The sequence below is a fragment of the Homo sapiens genome, chromosome 10, assembly GCF_000001405.40.
Source record: "Homo sapiens chromosome 10, GRCh38.p14 Primary Assembly".
NCBI lineage: Eukaryota > Metazoa > Chordata > Mammalia > Primates > Hominidae > Homo > Homo sapiens.
In genome coordinates, this window is record NC_000010.11 from 101,498,587 (window position 1) to 101,518,919 (window position 20,333).

General features: G+C 40.0%; 1 protein-coding gene across 15 annotated transcripts in view, besides 1 other annotated feature; it reads left to right on the top strand.

Moving 5' to 3' along the window:
- The window catches only part of BTRC (beta-transducin repeat containing E3 ubiquitin protein ligase), a 203,266-nt gene that overhangs the window by 144,539 nt on the left and 38,394 nt on the right, over positions 1-20,333 (top strand). The window contains exon 1 of one of the 15 annotated variants that reach the window (XM_011540320.3): positions 17,217-17,423. The exons of the other annotated variants lie outside the window; for them this stretch is intronic. Coding sequence (XP_011538622.1) covers positions 17,304-17,423 — 120 coding nt within the window. The 5' untranslated portion in view covers positions 17,217-17,303. Of the gene's footprint in view, positions 1-17,216; positions 17,424-20,333 lie in introns of those variants that run through there. 15 annotated transcript variants of the gene reach the window in all.
- Positions 8,306-9,629: an enhancer, noted in NCBI's record as "VISTA enhancer hs326". NCBI's record gives its function as "enhancer in: limb[4/7]" and the evidence as "EXISTENCE:transgenic organism evidence [ECO:0001131][PMID:17130149]".

A 20,333-nucleotide genomic window follows, 5' to 3' on the forward strand; every position in this document is an offset into this window, starting at 1 on the left:
CCCTCCTGGGGAATTTGGCATTAAGTTTCTATTAAAACTACAGTTTTAAAGTTTAGTGGGCACGTCCTAATACAGCCTGAATTGTTGAGATGGTTTCTTGGTGCTAGAAAATAATAATAGCAGGCCAGCCGTGGTGGTTCACGCCTGTATTCCCAGCACTTTGGGAAGCCAAGGCAGGCAGATGACCGAAGGTCAGGAGTTCGAGACCAGCCTGACCAACATGGTGAAACCCCGTCTCTACTAAAAATACAAAAAAAGTAGCTGGGTGTAGTGGTGCGCGCCTGTAATCCCAGCTACTCAGGAGGCTGAGGCAGGAGAATCACTTAAACCCAGGAGGCGGAGGTTGCAGTGAGCTGAGATCATGCCATTGCACTCCAGCCTGGGCAACAAGAGCGAGACTCTGTCTCAAAAAAAAAACAGAAAAAAATAATAATAATAGCCACCTTTAGTAACCATGTACATGCTAGATCCTGTTCCAAGTATTTCATATACATAATCTGTTATTTCATATGACAATTGTAGGAAGTAGGTGGTATTAGTTTTGTTTACAGGGGGAAAAAGTGAAGCTTAAAGAAGGCAACTAACTTGTTCAGGTCTATATAGCTTGTACATGGCAGACACTTGGCCTGTACCTGGGCTTGTCTGACACTATGCAGTACTACCTTTTTTTTGAGACAGGAGTCTCGTTCTGTCGGGCTGGAGTGCAGTGGTGCGATCTGGGCTCACTGCAACCTCCGCCTTCTGGGCTCAAGCAATTCTCGTGAGTAGCCGGGATTATAGGCATGCACCACCATGCCCAGCTAAATTTTTTTGTATTTTTAGTAGAGGTGGGGTTTCACCATGTTGCCCAGGCTGCTGTCAAACTCCTGGCCTCAAAGTGATCTGCCCACCTCGGCCTCCCAAAGTGCTAGGATTACAGGTATGAGCCACCATGCTTGGCCACTATGCAGTACTACCTTTTAAATAATTATGTATCTTACCACCTCCATAAATAAAGCCCTGGGTCCTTCATATTATATTTAAGAATATACCCTCCAAAATGTCTTGATTCTGTCTTTGTCACACCCCTAACCCCCATTCTCACTGCTGCTCTCCTAGTTCATGTCTATTCTGATATCAGCCCACTCTTCCATCCTTACTATGTAGGCCTACGAGATTGCTCACTATCAAAAAATGCTATCACCACAGAAAGATGAGGTTACAAATTCTGCTTCTACCTTCCATTGAAACTTAATTCTTTCAAATGGAAATCAAGCCTCAGTGCTTGTCCATATTCATTTAGTTATTACAATAGCTAGTATGCCACCTTGGTCTTGAGGGCACTTGATGGACTTTCGAATCTGAAAGAAAAAGCTCTCTGCAATACAGCAGGCTATGGACTATAATGCTGAAAATACAACTGGCAAAGAACAGTGGCCATCTGATCATGAGCTCTTAATAAAGTTTTGAGAGGATTCCAATGGGTTTTTTATATCTAGTTGCAGACTTTTCTTGTGGCCCTACTGTGGTTGTGCACTGCTTAATGATGGGGATATGTATGAAAATGTGTCATTAGGCAATTTTGTTGTATTGCAAACATTATAGAGTGTACTTCCGCAAATCTAAATGGTACAGCCTCCTATACACCTAGGCTATATGGTATACCTATTACTCCTAGGCAACAAACCTGTACACCATGTCAGCATACTGAATACTGTACGCAATCATAACATGATGGTGTTTGTGTATCTAAACATTTCTAAACATAGAAAAGGTATAGTAAGAATACAATACTATAATCTTAGGGACCGTAGTTGTATATGCAGTTATTGACTAAAATATCATCACATGGTGCATGACTGTACTTTGATTTGGCCCTAATGGAGACCAGTTGGTGTATATAACTTTTTGCCTTCTTATGAAGCAAAGGGATTATTAATAAAGAGATAGATTCATGTATAGACAGTTTTCTGAAAGCCTTTATTAAATACTGGAAACTGTGGGGAGGGATAGTTGGGGTAATTATCAGAAGAGTTGATGTGAAAGAAATGAGGCATATTGAAACAGAAAACTTCAAGAAGGCATTACTAGGGCTTCAGATCCTAGTGTCAGCCATGAAGAAGGCTAAAACCTTAAAGCTTTTAAGATTTTAAATTATTAATTTTAAAGTCAGCATGTAGAAAAGTCAGAGAATAATAATATTACCTGTGTACCTGTCACTCAGAATGATAGCATTTCTTTGCATTAAAAATTCAATTGTTTAAGAAAAGTTTGACCTATTCTTGGGGTTATAGAATATCTTGCTTGCCCAAATAATATTGTGAAAAATGTTTTTTAAAATTCGAGGGCCAGGCACAGTGGCTCAAGTCTGTAATCCCAGCACTTTGGGAGGCCAAGGCAGGTGGATCACCTGAGGTCAAGGAGTTCAAGACCAGCCTGGCCAACATGGCAAAACCCCGCCTCCACTAAAAATACAAAAAATTAGCCAGGCATGGTGGCACACGCCTGTAGTCCCAGCTACTCAGGAGGCTGAGGCAGAATTGCCTGAACCTGCGGGGCAGAGGTTGCAGTGAGTGGAGTACACTGCACTCCAGCCTGGGCAACAGAGTGAGACTGCGTCTCAAAAAAAAAAAAAGAGGTGTATGCTTAAACGCCAATATGATGGGTTTTAAGTAAGAACATGTGAAGAATGAATCTCTATTTTTAAATTTATGTACGCAATTTTATTTTAACTTACAGTAGAACTGGATTATAGACTCAAAGTTTAAGAGCCAGACTGAGCTTCAGATAATCCCATCCACTCACTCATGTTACACATGAACTCCCATGCCAGCAGATACTTCCCCCAGGTTGTATGGCTAATTAGTGATTTAGACTGGGCCTAAATCTCTTTAGCATCGTGTTGCCTCACTTTTGCTTTCAGGCTACATTAAAACATTTATGTCAACTATAAGAAAACTTTTTGATGAATGGTTTGTTTCCAGAGCATCAAAGTTCAGTATGTATTCCTTAAATGGAAAATAGAAATAAACTACAGTGTTTGATACATAGAAAAATTCCATGGGAAAGAGTTATTAGTACTCTTGAGCCTCGTATTTATAGTGCTCCATATGAACTTAAACCACTCCCAGGTAAAATAAAAAGGTTAGGTAGTAAACCAGAAAATGTCTTTATAGAAACTATTTCATGCTCTAAGAAAAGCCAAGTTCTTCAAAGAAAGGATACAAGTCCTAATTTTAAATCAGATGCATAAATTTTATGGAGGTGACTGTCTTCCTGATTTTCATTTTCTTATTACAACCCCTCTTCCCAGAAAACACCTACACAAAACCCCTGGTGGAAGTTTGTCCCATTCTAGGTTAAACAAACAAACAAACCATTTTTAGTGACCCTCAAAATTCTATGTCTTTTCTCAGAAAGACCAAAAATCTGCAATCTCTGGTCTATGAAACCCCATTAAAAATGGTGCCCATGTAGGGGACATATAAATAACCTCCAAAGTTACAGGGTAGTAGAGTTTTTCTGCCTATTTCTGAGAGAAAGGAAAGTGGATGCTGACAACAGCCAGAATTTTAGTCTGGTTTCTGCCCTGGCTCTTGTCTTTGCTGATTCTAAAACAATGCCACAAATCAGAAGGAAGCAAAATATACTCTGTGCCCTACAGGATGTTAGCTCTTTGGTAGAAATTGTTCAAGTGGATTTTAAAAATTAGAGTAATGCACTGAGAGTCTTGTTACCATTCTGATAATTTCCTTACTGTTCTTCCTTCCCTGAAGTTGGGTGTTATGGGAAAACATTGTAGCAATAGCTCTGAAAGATTGAAAATGAAAAAAAAAAATCAATGGCAAATGTCTTTTATTCCATATTGTAGAAGATCTTTGAGGGCTTCCTTTTGCTCTTTTCTGTCTTCAATTATTAAGTTTCATGAAACATTAACCTACTGTTAGTCTTCATTCCTTTTGGGAGTTCAGTTTTACTTTGGTTCTTAAATTTTTGCATACCAATCTTAGAAAATGGATTAGATTGCCAAATTTGAGTGCCTATGGACAAAGCATCAATATAGTGATAGTAGCATCCTTCTTGGTGAGAGAAGGGGACTCCAAATATGTTTACACCACAAGACATTTTACCACTGTACTCACAAAAAGCAATACCCACCTCCTCGTTCATTTAGATTAACAGTTCAGTTTATCAAATATTTTTGAGCTGCTGTTATATAGATACTGAAAACTTATGTGATAATCTATTTTAAAGTGAAAGTTTCTGGACATAATATTATTGTAAAAGCAAAGAAGAGTATATTTAAATATAGTGAAGCATTAAGCTAATTATAATAAGTAACTATGTAGATTACAATCCTTTTTAGTTAAAACTCATCACAACTTATGCCCTTACTATGTGCCAGGTACTCTTTCTGAATACCTTTATATGTATTATTTTAATCTTAACATTAGCCCTTCTAGCTAAGTATTGTAACTATCACCATTTTATAGATGAGGAATTTGAAGCCCAGAGAAGTTAATTAATTTACTGAAGATCACACTCCAGGTAAATAGTAGAGCTGGGATAGAATCAGTGTCAAATTATGATTTTTTAATGATATTCTATTACATAAACTCCTTCAGAAAGACATTTAAGCTTGCTTCAGTGTGGCACTTTGAGTCTCAGTGCATATGTAAACCTCTTTTGGTTATAGAAATGCATTTATCCATCTATGCAAAGCAGTCCTGGTCTTCTACATTTAGTCATAGTCATTGACTTGGAGCTTCATTGTCATTGAAAAGAGGAAGAGGACCAGAATTTCATTTTAGAAAAACTGTTCAGCTTATATAATAACTGCATTTTGAAATCTGAACTTTACTAACTTGTGTGAATCTGAGCAAGTTATTTTGATCACCTGTGCTGAAAAAACAGATGCTGCATCTAAACTAAGCTTTTCCTGGATAAATTAAGAAAACAATTACCAAAGTATTCCAGAGAGAAATGTCTTCAGTCCCTTGATGTTCCCAGGGTTATTAAAGTTTTACCTGAAGATAACCAAGACTTCCAGAAATTACAAGTCATTTACTTCATTCACTGCAGCTAAGAGAAGCTTGTGCTGCTGCCTCATAGAATTATTTCTTGCTGCATTTAACATGCATTAACAAGCATTTGAAAAGAGTTGAATTTCTTCTAGAAAGTTGAGTTGGCTTCTTGAGATCCTATCCAAAAAACTTTGTATTTTCCTAATCCCAGTTTTAGATAAAGCCTTCTCAAAGGCTTTTTTCAGGAGCAAGTTTTACCAAGTTGTTGAGGCCTTTTTATAGAACACAGAAATTGAAGGATTAGAGCACAAAGAAGAGCAGGGTAGTTTTTTCCTTCTTTATTTAAACCCGACTGTATTTTTCCCATACACTTTTTAACTGTTTTACATGTGCCTCTGTGTTTTGCTCTGACATCTGATGCATTCCCTGCTAATGTTAGAACTGAATTTTCTGATGCTAACTGAAGGGAGAAGGGTGTTGGGGGTAAGTTGGGCAGAAGACTCTCAGTTTCAACTTTCAGCATCACAGAAATTTTATTCTGGTAATCTTAACATAATTTGACATCTAGGTGAACAACCTCCACCTGAGGAAGTTACACAGAAAGAACAACCAGATTCCAGACAATTAAACTTTATTACTCCGCCTGAAACATTAAGTAGTGGTTTTAAAAAATAGTTTTTTATCTCCTCTCCCTCTTGATGTTTATTGTGTGGGAGAGGATGTTTGTCCAACAAGCATATTGCTCCTCTTAGAGCAGGTGAGCTTGGTAATGCTGGGTCCCTTTTGCATTTGGTTATATTCATTCTCCCCCTTCCCACCTATTTCTCACTTCATCTCTCCTGTAGCCATCTCCCTCCATCTCTTCCCCAGCTCATCATCTCTCCCCATCCCTATCTTTCCCCTAGACCTGCTTATCCCTCTTCCTTCATCCTTATCCCATCTCTCACCAACCCCACTGCCTAGTATCCACTGTCCTTTCCCCAATCCTCGGTCACTTTTGTCATTCCTCTTCCTCTTCTACCCTCTTCTCTAGCCCTAGCCCTTCCTCTCCTTGCGTTCCTCCTTCTGCTTTCCCATTTTCCCCCTTCCATTTCCCTTTTCTTTCTCTCCTCACTTTCTCTCCCTTTGACTCTCTTTCTTTTCTCCTCTTTCCTCCCCTCCTTTCAGCTCCCCTCATCACAATAACCTATAATTCTCTGTCCTCCAGGATCAGATCTTGACTTCTCTAACAGCAAAGATTAATTTTGCTTGCTCTGATCAATTTGATATTATGAACAAAGAATTCTCTAGATGGCACAGATACACTCCCCCTCCCCCATATTCTTCAAATATTTGACTAATAAATTTTAAAAAAATTTTGTTTTCTTTTTGAGATGAAGTCTTACTCTGTCACCCAGGCTGGAGTGCAGTGGTACAATCTCAGCTCACTGCAACTTCTGCCTCCCGTGTTCAAGCAATCCTCCTGCCTCAGCCTCCCAAGTAGCTGGGATTACAGGCGTGCACCACTGCACCTGAGTATATATTTATATATATATATGTGTATATATATGTATATATATATGTATATGTATATATATATATATATATATTTTTTAGTAGACACGAGGTTTCACCATGTTGGCCAGGCTGGTCTAAGACTCTTGACCTTAAGTGATCCGCCTGCCTCAGCCTCCCAAAGTGCTGGGATTACAGGCATGAGCCACCATGCCTGGCCGTTGACTAATACATTTTTAAATAAACAGAAAGATGGCCGGGCGCGGTGGCTTACGCCTGTAATCCCAGCACTCTGGGAGGCCGAGGCGGGCGGATCATGAGGTCAGGAGATCAAGACCATCCTGGTTAACACGGTGAAACCCCGTCTCTACTAAAAATTCAAAAAAATTAGCCGGGCGTGGTGGCAGGCGCCTGTAGTCCCAGCTGCTCAGGAAGCTGAGGCAGGAGAATGGCGTGAACCTAGGAGGTGGAGCTTGCAGTGAGCAGAGATTGTGCCACTGCACTCCAACCTGGGCGACAGAGCGAGACTCCGTCTCAAAAAAATAAAAAAAAAAAAATAATAATAAAAAAACAAATATACCCACCAAAATGTGAACATTATGTCTTTGTTGATAGTTGAAATTATGGGCAATTTCCATGTTTTTTGTGTATCTGAATTTTTCATATTTACTAAAATGTGTCTACTGTAAATGCTATTTTTAGAAAATGAATTAAACATTCTTTGCTTGACCCCCCCCATAGATCTTTATTTAATCAAAGTGAAAACAAAATGACTCAGATTTGATCCTTTTTGAAGATGAATTTGGTTTGCTATTTTGATGTTCAGTTTTCCAATTTTTTTTTTTTTTTGAGACGGAGTCTCGCTGTGTCGCCCAGGCTGGAGTGCAGTGGCACAATCTCAGCTCACTGCAACCTCCGCCTCCAGGATTCAAGCAATTCTCCTGCCTCAGCCTCCCATTAGCTGGGACTACCGGTGCCGGCCACCATGCACTGCTAATTTTTCTATTTTTAGTAGAGACGGGGTTTCACCATGTTGGTCAGGCTGATCTCGAACTCCCAACCTCAGGTGATCCGCCGCCTCAGCCTCCCAAAGTGCTGGGGTTACAGGCGTGAGCCACCTGTAGTTTTCGCGCCTGGCTAGTTTTCCAAATTTTTTTACCTTTCAAAATGGGTGGCCCTTTGAACTGAAGCATGAAGCCATCAGCTCATTGGCACTATTGTAGCACATGGTGAATGTTAAATACAGTTGCTCAAGTTAGGCTTCAACTCTAAGTCCTATAAGACCTTTCCTGCCTTTCTCTGTCCTCCCAAAATTTAGCTCATGTTTTTTTGTAATATTTCAATATTAGAGTGTTCAGTCTGATAGACTTGGCAATTTTTATACAGATTTGTTTTCAGCCCTGTTATCAGTCTTGGGGGTGGGGAGGACAGGCATTGATGAGCAGCAGTTCTATTATATACCTTGTTTATTGTCCTTGGTAGTGTTGGTTATAAAAAGTGTAACAGTCATGCTGTACCAAGCCAAGATGCCAACTCTGCCATAGTTAAATGTTAAAATTCCAAGCTCAGATTCAAAATTGACTGAAAGGAAATCTTTCAGCAGACTATTTCAATCTCAGTTGACTAACCCTAGGTATGCAAGGTGGATGGCAAGGCTAGATGAAGTGCTCTAAACAACTGAAGTTTACTTATTTCCTAGCTATAGTGTACTCATTGTTTCACAAAGGGTTAAATTATGTAGTTAGTGAATGCTTTTCTAGCTGCAGGGGTTTTTGAAAAGAGATCTAGGAATTCTGCAGTTAATTGAATTCTTCAGGCATGGACTCAGGGTCTCTGAAAAAATTTGAGTGAGCAAAATTCTCTTGCTTTGCTCCTAGATATAGTTCATACCATGTCTTAGGAATCCAGAATTATTTTTTGAAGGATTTTATGCCTATATATGCTGACTGAACATTTAATAAGATAACCACGACATTTTAAAAGATTTTATACAATGTACTTGTTTCCTTGCATTGCCCTTCTCCCTGTTTTTTCTTCTCTTACTTCCCCAAGTCTGTATCACTGGGGCTTTTTTCCCATTTTTTCCCATCTTGTGAGCAAAGTTTTAACAGTACGTAGAAAGTTAACTGCCTGGAGTCTTTTAAATATAAGTAACACGCAACCAGTAATAAGCTGTCGGTTGATTTTTTGCTGCCTGCAAAGAAACATAAACACAGCGCTCATTTCTGGCAGGTTTTTACTGTCAGAGTTTCTCCTATTATATTTATCTTACAATTTGCCAGGGGGTGAAGTTATTAAGTTTTAGCAGCAGCCATCGATCAAGTTCACAAGTTAACACGATAAAGGCTCTGTGCCGCTCCGATCCGGGGAAATGATGATCCTCACTCGGTAATTAACTAAATGAGAAAGTTAAATCTTACTTGAGAGCTGGGAGAGATGAAAGAGAGGTGTTTGTCAGCTTCTCAGTGGAAATTAGAAGCAGTTTTCTGCAATTCCCTAAGCTGCTGCTCTGTCATATTTTACATAAGCACTGGGAAAATGTCTTGTAATTAGTGCTGTCATGGAAGATTTTTTTTTGCTGAAGGATGTTGGAATAATTCATTAGATTATCAAGAAAGGCTGTGTCCTGAAATGATTAGCACAGTGAAATTTAAACCATTAACGATAACAAGTTTAGAGCTTGCTGCAGTGCAGAGGCACCCCGGGTATGTCTGTGCCTATTTCAATCATTTCTTATAATTAAACATTATGTCCTTTTTTTTTCCCTCACCACTAGGACCCATCCAAAAATCCTTTTAAGGTGGCACTATCTACATCAGTGGGTTTACCAGCCTTGGAGGTGTGTGTAGTTAGTAGCTATAATAATGCAACAGTAAATTAAACTGCTGTGAATTTCTTGGTTTAGAACAAAAGAACCTATCACCCTGGAAGCTATAAAGTTGCATGAGGGGGCCAATAAAGAAGCTTGAGTTTCAGTTTTGAAACCTAAAAATGTTAAATGACTATCCTGTCCCTTTAACTATGTCAGAAATCAGAAAATAATGAAAAACTGCTTTGTTCTGAATTTGATGAATTTTATATATGACTTTTCCTATAGTTAGTAAATAGGAAAAAAAGATTGGCAAGTGTCCAGTCATTAAATAATCATATATACTGGGCAATGTCAGTTCATTTCCTACTGGGCTTTATTTAAAGGAATTGGAATGACTGCAAGCTTTTTCTTGTTGGTTATTAGAAATCATTCAGATTCATAATGTGAACTTTCCCTCTACTGACAAATCTGCCCCTTCCTGTCTTCCATGTTCACTAATCAGATTTGACATGTTTATGAGTTCACCTAATATGTAATCATATTTAGTAGAGGCTGTTAAAATATTAATATAATAATCCCACTGAGAAATATGATGTTTACTTCTGTTGAAATGTGTGCCCCATTCTATATGTACCATTTTCTTTTCATTTGCACTCCCACTTCCCACCCTACTCCAAAAAAAGGAATGGACTACTCCTTTGATCACTGAGAGTTATAAAGTTTAAGAACTAAAAGTAGGCTGGGCGTGGTGGCTCACGCCTGTAATCCCAGCACTTTGGGAGGCCGAGGCGGGCAGATCACGAGGTCAGGAGATCAAGACCACCCTGGCTAACACGGTGATACCCCGTCTCTACTAAAAATACAAAAAAATAGCCAGGTGTGGTGGCAGGCGCCTGTAGTCCCAGCTACTGGGGAGGCTGAGGCAGGAGAATGGCGTGAACCCAGGAGGCGGAGCTTGCAGTGAGCCAAGATTGTGCCACTGCACTCCAGTCTGGGCAACAATGCAAGACTCCATCTTAAAAAAAAAAAAAAAAAAAAAAACTAAAAGTAGAATGTTAAAAGTTATTATCCCACTTTTGAACATTAATTTCCTTTTTTCTGCATGTTCAATTTGTAGCTAAATTCTTTCAGTTTATCTTGAAATCTCCTTGTAAAAGGATGCTCAGGTGCCAATGGGCGCTAGCCCTTCGGGGTTCCTTTTCTTTTCCATTCTAGCTCTTTAGAAATCTAGGTCTCCCTGCTATCACCATCTTCATCACTAGGTGTGCTTACTTATCTCTTTCCATTCTAATCAAAGTGTAAACAATCCTATTTCCTCTCAATTCAAGCATGACAGTGGCAATGTGGATTTTTTTTTTTTTTTTTTTTTTTTTTTTTGAGACAGAGTCTCGCTCTGTCGCCCAGGCTGGAGTGCAGTGGCGGGATCTCGGCTCACTGCAAGCTCCGCCTCCCGGGTTCACGCCATTCTCCTGCCTCAGCCTCCCAAGTAGCTGGGACTACAGGCGCCCGCCACTACGCCCGGCTAATTTTTTGTATTTTTAGTAGAGACGGGGTTTCACCGTTTTAGCCGGGATGGTCTCGATCTCCTGACCTCGTGATCCGCCCGCCTCGGCCTCCCAAAGTGCTGGGATTACAGGCGTGAGCCACCGCGCCCAGCCTTTTTTTTTTTTTTTTTGAGACAAGGTCTCTCTCTGTTGTTTAGGCTGAAGTGCAGTGGCATGACCACGGCTCACTGCAGGCTCAACCTCCCAGGCTCAAGTAATCCTCCCACCTCAGCCTCCCAAGTAACTGAGACTACAGGCATGCACCACCACACACAGCTAATTTTTTTTTTTTTTTTTTTTTTGGTAGAGATGGAGTCTCACTATGCTGCCAAAGCTGGTCTCAGACTCCTGGGTTCAAGCAGTCCTTCTGCCCTGGCGTCCCAAAATTCTGGGATTACAGGCATGAGCCACCATGCCTGACTGGCTTTTTTTTTAAAGATGCTTTTGGCCGGGTGCGATGGCTCATGCCTGTAATCCAAGCACTTTGGGAGGCCAAGACAGGTGGATCACGAGATCAGGAGTTTGAGACCAACCTGGCCAGCATGGTAAAACCCTGTCTCTACTAAAAACACAAAAATTAGCTGCGCGTGGTGTTACATGTCTGTAATCCCAGCTACCTGGGAGGCGGAGGTTGCAGTGAGCCGAGATTGCACCATTGCACTCCAGCCTAGGTGACAGGCAAGACTCTGTCTCAAAAAAAGAAAAAAAGAAAAGAAAAAGAAAGATGCTTTTACAAAGAAATCAAAGGAAAATAATCGGAAAAAGATCTTTTAAAGTCATTATTTTTGGCCGGGTGCAGTGGCTCACGCCTGTAATCCCAGCACTTTAGGAGGCAGAGGTGGGTGGATCACGAGGTCAGGAGATCGAGACCATCCTGGCTAACATGGTGAAACCCCGTCTCTACTAAAAATACAAAAAAATTTAGCCGAGCGTGGTGGTGGGTGCCTGTAGTCCCAGCTACTCCGGAGGCTGAGGCAGGAGAATGGCGTGAACCCAGGAGTTGGAGCTTGCAGTGAGCCGAGATCGCGCCACTGCACTCCAACCTGAGCGACAGATTGAGACTCCATCTTAAAAAAAAACAAAAAAAAAAGTCGTTGTTAGATGTTTATTTAATTAAAACCTGACAACAGCCTCTAGAGAGTATAATATAGACTTTTAAAAAATCTCTTCCTTTCCCCCTCAAAATCCTTGTAAGTTTTGCCTTGTTTCTCCTGGCCGCAGGAGCAAGAACACTGTTGTATCCCCATCCAGATTAATGTACCAGACTAAATATCTAAAGGATCAGCCTTAATGAGGTAGTAAAGTATTATACTAAAATAAATGTATATTATGACCCAGACTTACAATTCTCAACAGGGGATTTCTCCTCCTTTGGTTTCTCCTCCTTCATCCTCTGTCATGAGAGTTAAAATACCTTTCTTTTAAACATTTCCTAATCTGCCTAATCTAATCCTAGCCATAGTCACATTTTGCCTGGATTATTTTATCAGCCTTCTAATTGATCTTTCTTCCTCTGCTTTTGCAACTTGCTCTTATTATCCCCTCCCCACCTTTCCAGCCCCTGCTCCATTCTCTGTGTGGCAGCTAGTATAAATATTTGTAAGGCACAAATCAGACAATGCCATATGTGACTATTTCAAAACCTCCAGGGGCTCTCCTTTACACTTCAGATGAAATCTAAACTCTGTAGGATGGCCTAGAAGGCCTTATGTGATCTTAGCCCCAGCCACCTTAATTCCCACCATTTTTCCTTAATTCCCACCATTTTCTTATTCATTCTGCCCAGCCACATTGGCCTTCTGTCTTTCACTTGAACATACCATTGCACTAGCTCTTCCTTCTATCTAGAAGGATCTTCCCCAAGATCTTCACAAGACTGACATGTCATTCAAATCTCAGCTCAGGTGTCACTTCCTTTAGAGGCATTTCTTGACCACTCCAGTTAAAGTAGGCTGCACTCTTTACTTCTTTTCTTTTTCTTTTCTTTTTAAACATGATCTCACTCTGTTGCCCAGGCGTTCAAGCAGTTCTCGTGCCTCAGACTCCCAAGTAGCTGGAACCACATGTGCGCACCACCATGCCCAGCTAATTTTTGTATTTTGGGTTTTTTGTTTTGTTTTGTTTTGTTTTGTTTTGCGACAGAGTCTCACTCTGTTGCCCAGACTGGAGTGCAGTGGGCAATCTCAGGTCACTGTAACCTCTGCCTCCCGGGTTCAAGCGAGGGTTCACACACCATCAAGCCCAGCTAATTTTTGTATTTTTAATAGAGACAGGATTTCGCTATGTATGCCTGGCCAGGCTGGCCTTGAACTCCTGACCTCAAGTGATCCACCCACCTTGGCCTTCCAAAGTGCTGGGATTACAGGCGTGAGCCACCGTGCTGGCTGTATTAATAGAGACGAAGTTTCACTATGTTGACCAGGCTGGTCTCGAACTCCTAACCTCAAGTGATCTGTCCGCCTCAGCCTCCCAAAGTGCTGGGATTACAGGCATGAGCTGCTACCATGCCTGCCTTTACTCCTTATTTTATCTTTCTTTGTTTTCTTCACAATCCTTACTGGTTTGTGAAATTAACATATTTATATATGTTCTTTCTCCACTCCTCTTCAGAGAAGGCAAAGACACTTTGTATGCCTGTTCACAGCAGTTTCCCTATTACCTGGTAAAGTGCCCAGCATAGAGTAGTCACTCAATAAACTGTTGTTGGTTGATTGATACCACTAAAGTTCCAGGTTTAGTCAAAATTGTTGTCCTGCCCCTCCTAGGCTACAGCCTTATCCCCTGCAAAACCCTTGCCTATTTTATTCTTAAATTAATTCAGCATTTAATCATTATATCCCCTTTCCCCCCATAGTTCTCAATGCCAGAGCCTTTCCTTAAAGCCTTTCTCAAAGCCAAATGGAATCCTTAGATATCTTTTATCATTTGCATCTTTCTTGTCATAAATACTTTGTTCATCTAGTCCTTGCAACCCCAGTACTAAAGAGTGTCCTATGTCTGGAATGTCTTTCTCTACTTACTATACCCTTCCTTTTGGTTAAAGCAGATTTGGATGCAAACTAGAAATACTTGTCATTTCACCATAAAGTTCAGTCAGTCCACTATGTATTTCCCAACCTATACATAATACAGTTAGTAAAGTCAGCATACTTAGTATTACAATGATAGTTGATGATCAAGCCAGTTGGTGTCTGCAAGTGTCTATTTTTCCCTCCTGGCCCAGGCTGCAGCTTCAGAGAAATTCATGGTAATTTTGAAAGTGGTACGTGAAATATGTTTTCGGAGAGGAAACTAGTCCCTAGCCTTTGAGAACTAAGCTGAAGGACAGTTCCAGAAATACTTAACTCCTTTCATTTTGTGTGCTTGTCACCTGACAGCTTCTTTCTTTCTTGTGGAGACAACTGTTCACTATAAACAAAAAAGAAGAGGGAGATGTGCAGGGGTGGCAGAAATTTAGTGTTACCATTAAGCTGAGGCTGTTTGTCAGCTTTCCAAGACACTTGAACAGTAGTGGTTGAGTCATCAGGCTTTTGTTGGGAAAGCCAAATCAATTCTACTGCAACCAGTAACCATTATATCTCTCATACACTCTAATATACAACCTTTTGATTTTTTAATAATTGAACTTTTTCATTGTGTCCTTGTAGATTTTCAGAAGTTCTCAAATTGGAATTTTGCTGAATTTACTTTAGATAATTGTAGAAAAATCTGTATTGGAGAATGGTAGAAGAAAGGGGCATGACAACAAAGACCTTTAGATTTCTCTACAAACATAATACCTTAGTTACAAATAAAATTCATATTACAGTGGATTTATCAGTAGGAATACTGTACTCTTAGAAGTTTTTTTAAAATAACTTTATTAAAATATAATTTACATACAATAAAATACACCCATTTTAAGTATATAGTTCAATGAATGTTGGCAACTGGCGTAACAATCAAGTTAGAGAACATTTTCATTGTCCCAAAAACATCCCTTGTACCCTTCCCCAGTCAGTCCCATCTCTACATCCAGCCTCAGGCAACCACTGATCTGTTTTTCTAACAATTAGAATTACTGTTCCTAGAGTTTCATACGAGTAGAATCATAATGGACTCATTTGTACCTGGCTTCTTTGATTCAGCATGTTTTTGAGGTTCATCTTTACCATTTTGTGTGTCTGTGGTTTATTCTTTTTGTTGCTGAGTACTATTCCATTCTACAGCAGCATCACAGTTTGTTTACCAGTTAATCTTTTGATGGACATTTGGATTATTACCATTTTGGATTTTTATTAATATGGAAGCAAAAAACATTAAAGTACCAGTCTTTGTGTTGAACTGTGTTTCGTTTTAAGGAGGTAAGTACCTAAAGTGGAATTGCTGGGTTGTTTGGTAAGTATATGTTTAACTTTACAAAAAACTGTCAACTTGTTTTCCAAAGTAGTTGTACCATTAAACGTGACTGCCAACAATGTGTGAGAGACCCAGTTGTTCCTCATTCTTGTCCACACTTAGTATTGTCAGTCTTTTAAATTTTAGCCATTCTAATAAGTGTGTCATAATGTCTTGATATTTTAATTTGCATTTCCCTAATGACTAATAATGTTGAACATCTTTTCATATGCTTATTGGCATCTGTGGATCTTTTTTTGTGAAGTATCTGTTCAAATCTTTTGCCTATTTAATAAAACAGGATTTTTTAAAAATTATTATTGAGTTCTAAGAGTTCTTTATAGATGCTGGATACAAGTCCTTTGTGAAATACATTTATTGCAAATGTTAATAAAAATGACAAATCATTTTTGGAAATCATGTTTTGAACATGCCAATTTACTGACTTTTTTTTCCTTTTATAATGTTTGCCTATTCCAAGAACGTCAAGGTTTTCTCCTGTGTTTTCTTTTAGAAGTTTTATAGTTTTAGCTCCTATATATAAATCTAGAATTAAGTTAATTTTTGTATATGATGTGAAGTTAGGAACAGACTTCATTTCCTCTATGGATATCCAATTGTTGAAAGACAATCCTTTCCCTATTTAATTTTTTTTTTTTTTGAGAAAGCTCTGTCACCCAATCTAGAGTGCAGTAGCACAATCTAGGCTCACTATAACCTCCACCTCCCAGGTTCAAGTGATTCTTGTGTCTCAGCTGCCCTAGTAGCTAGGATTATAGGCGTGTGCCATGATGTCCAGCTAATTTTTGTATTTTTAGTAGAGATGGGGTTTCACCATGTTGGCCAGGCTGGTCTCGATTTCCTGACCTCAGGTGATCTGCCTGCCTCAGCCTCCCAAAGTGCTGGGATTACAGGCATGAGCCACCGTGCCTGGCCTCCCCATTGAATTATCTTGGCATCTTTCTTGAAAGTCAGTTGGCTGTATGTATTTCTGGACTCACTATTCCTTTCCATTGATCTACACTTGTGTCCTTACACCAAAGCCACACTATCTTGATTACTATTACATATCTTGAAATTTACTAGTCTGAGTCTTCCATCTTTTTTCAAAGGGTTTTGTGGTTTTTTAGGGTTTTGTTTGTTTTGTTTTGTTTTGTTTGAGACAGTTTTACTCTGTAATCCAGGCTGGAGTGCAGTGGCACGATCTCGGCTCACTGCAGCCTCCACCTCCCGGGTTCAAGCAATGCTCCTGCCTCAGCCTTCAGGGTAGCTGGGATTACAGGCATGCACCACCACACCCGGCAAATTTTTGTATTTTTAGTAGAGACAGGGTTTTACCCTGTCAGCCAGGCTGGTCTCAAACTCCTGACTTCAAGTGATCCACTCACCTCAGACTCCCAAAGTGCTGGGATTACAGGTGTGAGCCACCACACCTAACCGTTTTTTTTATTTTCAGGAATATTTTGGTTAAGTTTAGGTCCTTTGCTTTTCTTTACAAATTTTAGAATCAGCGAGTTAATTTGCCTGCTGAGACTTTGATATTGCACTAACTCTATAGGTTGATTTGGAAAGAATAAACATCTTAATAGATCCAATTTCTGAATACAGTGTATCTCTCCATTTATTTAAGTCTTTTTAAAATTTCCCTCAGCAATGTTTTATAGTTTTCAATTTATAAGTATTACACAAATTTTATCCATTTTTTTTTTTTTTGAGATGGAGTCTAGCTCTGTATCCCAGGCTAGAGTGCAGTGGCGTGATCTCAGCTCACTGCAATCTCCACCTCCCGGGTTCAAGTGATTCTCCTGCCTCAGCCTCCAGAGTAGCTAGGGCTACAGGCATGTACCACCACGCCCGGCTAATTTTTTGTACTTTTAGTAGAGACGAGGTTTCACCTTGTTAGCCAGGATGGTCTTGATCTCCTGACCTCGTGATCCGCCCATCTCTGCCTCCCAAAGTGCTTGGATTATAGGCGTGAGCCACTGCTCCCAGGCTAAACTTTATCAAATTTATTTCTGAGAATTTTATGTTTTTATGGTACTACAAATTGTATAGGTGGATGGTTTTCAAAAAATGTATTCTTTTTTAATAGGTGTAGGAGTCACTCTCAGGGTGACTAGTGACCTGAAAAGGGACACAAAGGGGGCTAGTGAGTCTCGTGATGATCTGTTTCTTGATCTGGGTGTTGGTTATGTGAGTATGTTCACCTTGTGAAAATTAGTTGAGTACATTTAAGATTAAGCATTTCTATTTATGTTATACTTTAATGAAAATTAAAATAGAAAAAATATATAGTGAAAAAGAAGAATGTACTTTCAAAAAGAGAGGGAAGGCTCAGCTCCAACAGTGTTATAAGCTCATTAAGAGTGTTGATTGACGGAACACTTGACTGTATGCTAGGTGGTGTGCTAAGCATGCTTTTCATGAGGGTTTTTTAATTTGTTCCTTACAAAAACCCAATGAAATAGAACCTATTATATTATTTTCCCAGTTTTATAGATGAGAGAATTAGACTCAGAAGGATCAAGTTATTTATTCCATGTCACACAGCTGCTAAATTGAAGAGCTAGAATTTGAAACCAGGTCTTTTTACTCCAGGGCCAAAGCTTTTAAAACAATACAGTATGGGGTAGTGGTTGAGAGTAACCCATTTGTTAATGGATCTCAGGTATGTGTCTTTCTGCCTCATCAAAAAAATACTCGTTTTGAGGGGTGGTGACTAAAATGTATACCAGCTAGAATAGCCCAGAACAGTTGATAAATACGTGAAATCTCAGTTTATACTTTATGTCTAATAACCAAATGTGTAATTCCCACTTATGACTTGATCATTGAAAGTATCACAAAGTCTTATCTTTAGCTTCTGCAGTAGGATACCCAGACTTTTTAAATCCTTAGGCAGTTTTACCTAACAGTCTGATAGCCACTGATCAAAGCATGACTCCTTATGATTATAGCAATATCTCGTTTATTTAATGTATAAGTGGAATAATTTCATTAAGCTGCTGATTGTTCTTCTCTGTTACTGGCATTCTGGTCTTTATCCAGAAAACAGTACTCCAGTAGCACCCAACTCATGTCCATTTCCACCTTTTAAAAGACAAAGGGTGCATTTTAAAAGGCAAATATATAAAAAATGATAGAGTTTGGGAGGTTTTCATTATTGGGATTAGAAGTGGCATTTAGTCAAGCTTATAAGCCTGCCTGTGTGTTAGTTCTCTAAATCTTCACATTTCATGAGTTTTCATTTCTGAGATACAAACTAATAACTTACACAAAAAGCAGCCCTAAACTCCCCCAAGGCCTGTGTCCAACAAGGTTCTTAGTAATCATTTTTAGTCTGTATCATAGGCAACAGTGGCATTTATGCTAGAAAACATCCACCTCAACACACCAGGATTACAGGTGTCAGCTCCTTCTGTGTATATAAAATGGCCTAATGCCATTCTTGAAAATATGCTTTCAGCTGTGTATCTTTACTTTGTAAAGAGCCCTGTGTATAGGATTTAACATCTAGAAAATAAGCAAGCCTCAAGAGTTCAGGGCTGCAGTGAGCTATGATCACACCACTGCACTCTAGCCTGAGTGACAGAACAAGACCCTGTTTCTAAAAATAAAAGTAAATAAATAAAAGAAAATAAGGCAAGCCTGAGCCTTGAAATGAATTATCTAAATGTGGTACAGTTTTATAGCATGTTCCACATTGAGTATGTCTGAGCAGGGATGAACTCTATGGTAACATGGGTCTTTCTGCCACATTTGGGTTGCCTTAAGTAAATATGCCAAAGATCCATCAAATTACTTTGAAAAGTACCCAGTTGTACCCATTTGTGATTATCCTTTAAAGAAATACTTTCTTCAGAGTAGCAAAAGTTTCTATTGATTTCTGAATCTTTTCCCAGTGTCCCCCAGCTTCAAACTTGGGTGTGATTTTGTCTCCTTTTTTCTCATACTCATATCCAGTCGATCAGCAAATTCAGTAGGATCTGTCTTCAGAATATACACTGAATCCCAATTATTTCTCACCACCTCCATAGCTACCACTGTGGTCCAAGAGATTGTTCTGTCTTCCATGGACTGTTGAAGTAGTGTCTTTTTTTTTTTTTTTTTTTTTGAGACGGAGTCTCGCTCTGTCGCCCAGGCTGGAGTGCAGTGGCGGGATCTCGGCTCACTGCAAGCTCCGCCTCCCGGGTTCACGCCATTCTCCTGCCTCAGCCTCCCAAGTAGCTGGGACTACAGGCGCCCGCCACTACGCCCGGCTAATTTTTTGTATTTTTAGTAGAGACGGGGTTTCACCGTTTTAGCCGGGATGGTCTCGATCTCCTGACCTCGTGATCCGCCCGCCTCGGCCTCCCAAAGTGCTGGGATTACAGGCGTGAGCCACCGCGCCCGGCCGAAGTAGTGTCTTAATTGGCCTCCTTCTATTTATGTCCCATATAGTTTTAAAGGACCACATAGCAGTGGTCCTTTTAAACGGTGTCAGATTGTGTCGCTATTATGCTTCTGGGTGTTTGCCCATGTGGCCCCTCTGTATGGCTTCTCATCCTCCATACCTGTCTCTTTCTCAGATTAGCCTGAGTTTCTTACATGGTAGCTCAGCGCTCTAAGGAGTAAGCAGAAGTTGCCTGGGCTTAGAAGTCCCAGAATGGAATGCAACTTTCTCCCCATTCTCTTAGTCAAAGCCCAGATTCACAGAATAGGACATAATCTCCGCCTTTTGATGGGAGGAGTAGCATTCATGTAGAGGGAGGGCTGGAGTTGCTGGGGCCAATCTGTGGAGATTAGTTACCACCACCGGAATGACCAGGATGATTTGACCCTGGCTACTTCTCCAGCCTTAACTTTTCCTTGCTCACTCTGTTCCAGCCACACCAGGCCCTCTTGTTCCTTGAACATCCCAGGCCGACTGCCACCCAGGACCTAGGGTCTCAAAATTTCCATTGCCTAGACCATTCTTCCTCGCTGTCTAGTCCTCATTTCCTTCATGTCTGAGTTAAAATGTCACCTTTTTCAGGAAATGATCTCTAACCACTTAAATAATCCTATTAGTTTTTTGTTAATTGCTGCCTAATCACCACAAACTTAGCAAGTTAAAACAATACG